Source organism: Homo sapiens, chromosome 1, assembly GCF_000001405.40.
Source record: "Homo sapiens chromosome 1, GRCh38.p14 Primary Assembly".
NCBI lineage: Eukaryota > Metazoa > Chordata > Mammalia > Primates > Hominidae > Homo > Homo sapiens.
This window is the reverse complement of record NC_000001.11, coordinates 179,812,281-179,819,511: the sequence shown is the minus strand read 5'-3', so window position 1 is coordinate 179,819,511 and position 7,231 is coordinate 179,812,281. Positions and strand designations below refer to the sequence as shown.

The following is a 7,231-nucleotide window of genomic DNA, read 5'->3' as shown; positions in this document are numbered from 1 at the left end:
GTCACCTCGTCCGGCTAATTTTTTGTGTTTTAGTAGAGACAGGATTTCACCATGTTGCCCAGGGTGGTCTCGAACTTCTGAGCTCAGGCGATCTGCCCACCTCTGCCTCCCAAAGTGCTGGGATTACAGGTGTGAGCCACCGCACCCAGTCAGCTCACTTAATTTTCATGGAATACAGTGGGCATTATGATCCCAATTTTACAAGTGAGAAAACTGAGAAGGAGAGAGGTCCCCAAAGTTGCCTAAAGTCACACAGTAAGTGGTAGAGTCAGGATTCCAGCTGAAGTCTGCTTCCAAATCCCACCTTCTAACCGCTGCCACTAGACTGCTGTGTCTGCTGGGGTGTTAGGTCACAGGAGAAAAGAGATAATGGCTTTGTGACCCGGGAGCTCCGCCTTCACCTCCTCCTGCCATCCTCAGCATGAGCCAGCTGCATGAGGGGTGCTGTGTGCTGGGCTGGAGGATGGAGCCATGTGCCACTCCCTCCGAGGCACGCTGTGAAGGTGCAAGTGGTGTGTTCTGAGAGGTTGTGCACTACTTGGTTCTCCACCCAGCGAGCTGACAGGCCGGCGATGAAGGAAGGATGGCCGTTGGGAGGGGGAACTGGTGGAGAGAGGGGCCAGCTGGGGAGGAGGGTGGAGGAGTAGCTTGAGTCAGACTGCGGGGGAGGTACTGGCCGTCCTTGTCACTGTTCTTTAGAAAATGCCTCCGTCAGTGCCTGAGGTTCAAGGAGTGTAGGCCGTTTTCTTTCTGAGTTCCGAGCAAATCGAGCTGGGGGACTCCGGGGTATGCTGCCCTATCCCAGGAGTCTCAGTCTTAGGTAGTTTGGCGATCTTCTCCTGTAAATAATCAATAGTCCCTGAACAGCACTTGTAAATTTGAGCGTAGAAAACTGGGTGAGATGTTTTTATGGTGAAAGAAGCTTCTCCTTGAAGTCCCTGCAGAAGCCCCAGGGGCAGAGTGACATGGACAGGTTTTGGGGATGTGGGCTGAATGATGCCATTATGGGGCTGCTGGAATCTGGGGTGCCAGAGCTGTTGGTTGGAAAGCCCCCGGGTATGAGGGCAATGTGCCACTTTGACGACAGCCTCTGCCTCCAACTTTTTTGGGCCTGAACAGTGCGGAGGATGAAAACTTCTCACCCAGCTTTCTACATTCAAGTTTACAAGTGCTGCTCAGGACCCACTGATTATTTCCAGGGGAAGATCACCAAACCGCCTAAGGCCGAGACTCCCAGGATAGCGCAGCATGCCCCGGAGTCCCCCAGCTCGATTTGCTCAGAACTCAGAAAGAAAACAGCCCACACTCCTTGAACTTCAGGCACTGATGGAGGCATTTTCCAAAGAACAGTGACAAGGACGGCCAGCACCTCTCTTGCATTCCTCAGTCTGACTCAAGCTGCTCTTCCACCCTCCTCCCCAGCTGGAGCTGAGGCTGAAGGCAGTTGAGGGCCACCAGGGAGAAGAGCTGGGTCAGGGCCGTGACTTGCCAGCAAGCATGAGGCCAAGCAGATGTGCCGGGTGAGAGGCTGGAGGCCGAGTCCGGGCTGGCTGCCCTGCGGCGGCAAAGGAGATGGCTGGAGGTTGGGATGGATGCAATGATGAGTGTGCCTCAGGGTCTGGTTTCTGATTCCATAGAACAGCTGTGGTGACAGAGCTGTGGCCAACTGCTCCCTGGGCCGAGGGTGAAGGAAGCTGTGCTCCCACTGGTGCTAGGGAAGGCTGCTGCAGGGCTGGAGGCCTGGGTGCTGGACTGCTGGGGCAGGCTGCCTGCTGTACCCCCAAGCTGCAGTCAGGGCTCGCCCTGAGGCCCTGAGGTGGAGAGAGAGCAGCTGTCTCGTACACACCCATGTGCACAAGTGCAGGCACACACACACACACACACACACACACAAAAGACGTTCTCACTTCATCCCCGAATTCTCCCTCCTACACACAAAGCTAGTTCCCAGTTCTCCAGTCCCCCTCCATCCCTCTCCACTTCTGTAGTCTCTGCTGGGCTGCACTGGGGATCTGGTCCCAATTCCCCTCTCTTCCCTTGCTGCCCCTGTAACAAAGGGCTGGCCATGTGACATGATCTCCTCAGGCTTCAGAGAAGTGATTTTACCCTGAGCTACACAGGCAGGAAGACCACCAGCCTGGAAGGTGTGTGTGCAGGGTTGGGAAGAGGGGAAGGGCAGGTAGCAGGGGCCGAGGCCTGGGTTGCCCCACAGGGAAACTCACTATCCTCAGCAGGGCCCTTCAGCCACTTTCCCAACAAACAGCAAATCTCCGCCGATTGAACTCTGACTGAGGCAATGGGGGCATGCCAGGCAACAAGGTGGAGGTTTGCTACCGTGGGAGCAGGGAGAGCGTGGAACACAGACGCTCTGGGTGTTGAAGAGGAGGCTTCACCCTTAAATCCACACCAACAGCCCCCTTCACTTCCCCCGGTGAAGAACGAAGGACCCTGTGGGATTTCTACTTCAAATCTCTCATTTATTCCGACATCCACTCGGTTATGACTCCAAGTTATCAAAGATGCAAGACAAGAAGTCTAGAGCAGGAGTGGTGAAGTGGAGGTGGAGAAAGACGGCGGAGAGGGCTGTGTTCCTGGCCCCTCCTTCTCTTCCAATTTAGGGCACCGTTTGAAAAGTGTACAAGTAGTGTCCCTTAGCACAGACTAGACAGCAGAAAAGGACAGTGCAGTTGAGTGGGGGAAGCTTCCTTTTCCACAGGGTGGGGCCCTGCGGCTGCAGCGGGCAGGCAGGCAATCTCGAGCCTGGTTGGAGACCGTGCCCTGAGCAGCGTGGGCTATGTGGGGAAGAGCTGGGGCCCACCATCTCTCCAGCACCCCAAACCCAGATTCTGATTTGTGGGGCTAGCAGGGCTTAGCTAGGAAAGCGGTAGGAGGGAGGGGATTGCACAGGACGCTTGTACTCAGGGACCCCATCAATCAGGGGCAAGAAGTGGGTGATGGTTAACTGGGTCTTGATTTTTACAAAGGCAGGACGTACGAATGATGTTATTTCTGGCAAGGAGGACACGGCTGCTGTGGTTGATTGGCTGTGGAATTCCAGGGGAGCAAGGCACTAGGAAGTGGGGAACGCTGCCAGGCCCAGCAGCTCATCAGGAGCTTGCACTTGGCCCAGTTAGGGCTGGCCGTGGGACGGGCTTGTTGAAGCTGCTGCCGCCATAAGCTGCCCCTCTGCACCAGGAGACAGATCCCATTACCCCACCTACAGCTGCTTCCTGGTACAAGAGAAGAGTTACCATTTGAAATGACTCCACAGGAGAGTCTGACAAACATGTTTGCTTTTCACTGACAATTAAAATTGTTTTGCTGCTAATCTTGTTTTATTGTGGTCTTTCATCCATCAGCAAGCATCCCTGCACGCAAGATCAGAGTTGGGTAAATACATCCAGACCCTGCCAGGATTAGGGCAAGAGGGAGTGCTCTGGGCCGGCAGATCTTTTTCGGAAATTCTCACTTCTTGGAGCACTAAAGGGTTGTTAGTCTATCTGGGCAAGCCTCGTTTCCCTGGAGAAAATGGAGTCTCAGAGATTAGTGACTGGTCCTAGAGCTAATGAGTGACCAAAGTGTGACCAGAGCCCAGGTCTGCTTCTCAACCCAGGGCACTTTGATTCCAGATTGAGATGTAAGGTGACAGGTGCCTTAATAGTGGCGCAAAAGATGTGCATTCCCCTCTTCCTCCCTCCCCGCTCCCTGCTCCCCCAGCGGCACCCTGACCTTCCTCAAATGCAGAATCAAGATTTCAGCAGGGGGGCCAGCCCTTTCCCTGCCCCACCCTCCTCGAATTCAGTGACTCAGGAGTGGGAAGGGGGTTAGCTATGCCCTTAGAAGGGGGCCAGCTTCTGCAGAGGCCACTGGAAAACTCATCAGGATTCTCACTCACAAAGCCACTGCCACATTCTAAGTAGGAAGTCGGAGTTGGAAATGAGGCTGGTGTGAGACACAATAAATGGCTCATCGCCAGGAAACTGGGGAGTAGGGCGGCCAAGGGAGGGCGGCGAGCGTGGAATCCCAAGGCTAAGTCACGTCCCTCCCATCCTCAGGACTGGGCTGTTGCTCTGGTGAGATGAATGAAGATCCTGCTCCACGGCGTCACAGGTGGATGCTTACATAGAATGCCGGGCTCTGGGGGACTTGACGTGGTTTCAGCCGCTGCAGCATCGCCCCACAGAGATTCTGTGCTCTTCCTGTTCACCAGCCCGCTGTCTGCCATGGGGATTGGTCACGTGTTAACCACCTTTCGTTCAAGCTGTTTCGGGATCAGACTTTTCCTTCTCTGGTACATGGGAGACCTTTCCTCTCTGCAGCTCCTGAATGTACAAAGCCCCTGGTGCCTACCCGTGGTTACTGTGTGTGTGTGTGTGTGTGTGTGTGTGTGTGTGTGTCTGTGCGCGCGCGCGCGCGTGCGTACACCTGGGAACGGTTATGCACACCCTCACAGGACTGCATCCACACAAGCTACTCGGCGTGGTGGGCTGGGCCGAGAGACAGTCAGCTGGTCTCTTTGCTAAGCTACCAGAAGTCGGCTAACAAAATGAAAAAACTTCTCCAGCAGGGGGCGCTGGTTCCTAAGTCAGAGAAAGGATTTCGGGGAACACAAGGTTAGACACTTTCTGGTGCAGTCCCCACAAGCCACCTTAGGCTTTAAAGTCAACTTGACACGTCCCACGAGGAAGGGGGCAGGTGAGATGTGATACGTTCAGGAATCAACGACCCTACGGGAGCAGCTACAGTGACAGCAGTAGCTATGGTAACCAACGTACAAAGCTGGGCTGTGAACTAGCTGTTGGAGTCGTTTCAGCAAGCGCGTCCTGAAGCAGTGCCGTTGACGCCCCGCCCCTCGCTTCTCCAATGCTGGAATTGTAGCTCTCACTTCTCTCCTTGCCCTCTGTCCCCTTTTCCTAGGCACGGATGCTTCATCTCCCGAGGACCCGGGAGGCCTCCTGAGCCTTTGCTGAGCTTTCCCTGGTGCTCCTTTTTGCAGTCCAGCGAATCCAGGGGACTGGGGCACACTGCAAGGGGTTGTGGTGGTGCTGGGGCTGCCAGAGGAGTGTCCCAACCAAGAAACTGGCGAAGCTGCAGACTCGACCTAGCAGTCCCCCACCTCTGGCCCACAGAGTTGGAGCCAGGCCCTGTCTTGGTTCTCAATGCACTCAAAAGCTTAAATCCTAGTAAACCCTCCACTGCGGAGCGAGAAAAGCCAAAGAAACAGAAACAACCCATGTGGGGCTGTTGGAGGGTCATTCATCACCCCCATGGCCCCCGCCAGGGCAGCAGTGTGGGTGTGTGTGCGGGTCGGGGTGGAAGGATTTACACGTCTGTACTAATAGCCCTTGGATTGGTGAAGGCCTCACGCCCAGAGCCTGGCCAGGTCACCGGGTAACTCTGGGGTGCTGCCAATTTGAGGGATGGGGGTCCCCCCTCTTTGTAGTATGTGGGAGCAAAGGAGAGCCTCTCGCCTCCACCCCCATTGGGCACCATGTCAGCCGTCCGTATGTAAAAGGGGGAGCTGTATGGGGAGCAGGTAGTGCAGTGGCTCGCGGCCACCCCACAGGGCTGGCTGCAGGGCTCGCTGGTGAGAGGCGCCAGGCTGCCTCTGCCGTCCAGGGCTTGGGAGCTGCAGGCATTGCAGGTGGGGCCTCTGGGATGCGTGGGAAGGTCGTGCTCCCGCTCCTCCTCCTCGTCTGCAACCTCGGTTCCGCTCTTCTTGCAGCAGTAATACTGTGCGGAAGGGCAGAGGGATGCCTGAGAGGGTGAATGCTCCCCCCGCCCCATGCATTTTTGAGCGTGCACAGGTGCCCCTGTCCCCTGCTCCATGGAGAACCTAGTGCCAGGCACTGAACCCCAGGGGCCTGCTCCACAAGTTTCTAATCCCAGCTTTGCAAGGCCAGTACTGCTTTCCTTTTCCCCTCCCACCACTCCTCGCAGTAACTCCAGGCTGTAGTTGAGCGGGGCAGGGACACACACATCATATTGAGGACAGGGCTGGAGCTGCTGGCGGCAGCTTTCAGAGCCTCCCCAGAATGGTGCTCTTCCCATGCTCCTGAAATCTCAGAGGTGCAGGAGACACAACCCAATGACCCCGTATCTTTCCAGCACACTTTCTGTGTGCTCTGAGTGGGCAGGCTGGGGGGCACTTAGCTCCCTTCCGACCAGCCCCAACTCCCATCCTCCTTGACTTACGCCTGCTACATTCCATAGCTTTGGGCTCTGTGGGCCCTGAAGTCGGCCTCCAGTTTCTGCCCCCATAATGAAAAAGAGGTTTGCTGGTGGCCTGGCAGCCTCTGGCTACGGGTCCCGGGGACTGACCTGGAGCCTGCAGTAGCACAGGACGGCAATGATGCAGAGGAGGATCACCGTAGCTAGGATTCCGCCAGTGATCACAACCGTTCCCGCTGTCATCCGCCCGGCGCCCCATCAAACTCTGCAAAGATGTGCGGAGGGCTGAGGACCAGCTGTGGCTGCAGCCCTGGGCTGGGCCGGGGGGAGTCTTCCTGGAACTGCCCCGAGGCTGGGGCAGGGGGCCTGAGAGCAGCAGGTGCCGGGAGGGCCAGGCCCCAGGGGTTTCCTGAAGGCTGAGGACGACTGTGGCTCCAGACTGGGCCAGCCTAAGTGGGCGAAGTTGAGTACCCAGTTTCAAAAAGTTCTCACGATCTTTCCCCTTTGGTGCTCTTCTCGCCTTTCCTCTCCCGTCACACCCTTCTTAGCTCCCGCTTCTGCGTGGCTGCAGACACAGAGGAACAGCTGCCGCTGATTGCGGGGCTCCTCCCTGTGTGGCATCATGCTAAGCACCCCCACGCATCTTACTACATCCTCGCGATAACCCTTCGGGGCAGTTATTAGCTATCCCTACCGCACGCATGCTGAACGGGGCTGCGAATAATTTGGCTGCGATTCCACCCAGCCCGTTCATCCCAAAGGCTGTGCTCTTGATCCCCGCCCTCTTGGCACACACCCCAGTGGTCCCTGAGCCTTTGGCCCGGGCTGGCGGGGAAAGGGCCACATCTCGAAAACACCAGGTGGCTCTTCTCTGGCTCAAACCAGCACTTCTTTTGGGGGTATCTCTCTTCTCCTTCAAACCCTCCTGGAAAACAAAGGCAAGGCGAGCCCAGAGGGAGTGGTGTGTGGCATTCTGGGCCCTGGAAGGCTGTGGCCAAGCTGGGGAGACTGGTCCTGGCTTCTGAGGCTGAATGAACAGGACAGAGGCAAGCTCTGGGCA

At 56.6% G+C, this 7,231-nt stretch overlaps 1 protein-coding gene and 1 long non-coding RNA gene across 26 annotated transcripts in view, besides 2 other annotated features; one reads left to right on the top strand and one right to left on the bottom strand.

Moving 5' to 3' along the window:
- Positions 7-992: an enhancer, noted in NCBI's record as "H3K4me1 hESC enhancer chr1:179787655-179788640 (GRCh37/hg19 assembly coordinates)". NCBI's record gives its function as "activates a minimal SCP1, AML or CMV promoter by ChIP-STARR-seq in primed H9 embryonic stem cells {active_cell/tissue: H9 hESC(primed)}" and the evidence as "EXISTENCE:reporter gene assay evidence [ECO:0000049][PMID:30033119]".
- On the top strand, positions 94-5,217 carry LOC105371634 (uncharacterized). 8 transcript variants are annotated; one of them, XR_007066756.1, is made up of 5 exons: positions 94-526; positions 1,423-1,520; positions 1,638-2,144; positions 2,985-4,613; positions 4,918-5,217. It is a non-coding gene; the product is annotated as an uncharacterized LOC105371634 (long non-coding RNA). The 8 variants fall into 8 exon arrangements; XR_007066754.1 differs by having other exon boundaries at positions 1,200-1,520; XR_007066752.1 differs by having other exon boundaries at positions 1,120-1,520.
- FAM163A (family with sequence similarity 163 member A) overlaps positions 3,314-7,231 on the bottom strand; it is an 88,423-nt gene continuing 84,505 nt past the window's right edge. For 13 of the 18 annotated variants that reach the window (NM_001329714.2, NM_001329713.2, NM_001329715.2 and 10 more), the window contains 2 exons: positions 6,322-6,436; positions 3,314-5,733 (listed from right to left, as the gene is read on the bottom strand). In NM_001329714.2, the coding sequence (NP_001316643.1) occupies positions 5,323-5,733; positions 6,322-6,414 (504 nt within the window). In that variant the 5' untranslated portion in view covers positions 6,415-6,436 and the 3' untranslated portion in view covers positions 3,314-5,322. Of the gene's footprint in view, positions 5,734-6,321; positions 6,737-7,231 lie in introns of all 18 variants that reach the window. The other 5 variants (NM_001393416.1, NM_001393422.1, NM_001393415.1 and 2 more) reach the window with 2 other exon arrangements.
- Positions 6,193-6,418: a silencer, noted in NCBI's record as "fragment chr1:179782229-179782454 (GRCh37/hg19 assembly coordinates)". NCBI's record gives its function as "represses an EF-1alpha promoter that drives an FKBP-Casp9 reporter gene in an ReSE screen in K562 erythroleukemia cells {active_cell/tissue: K562}" and the evidence as "EXISTENCE:reporter gene assay evidence [ECO:0000049][PMID:32094911]".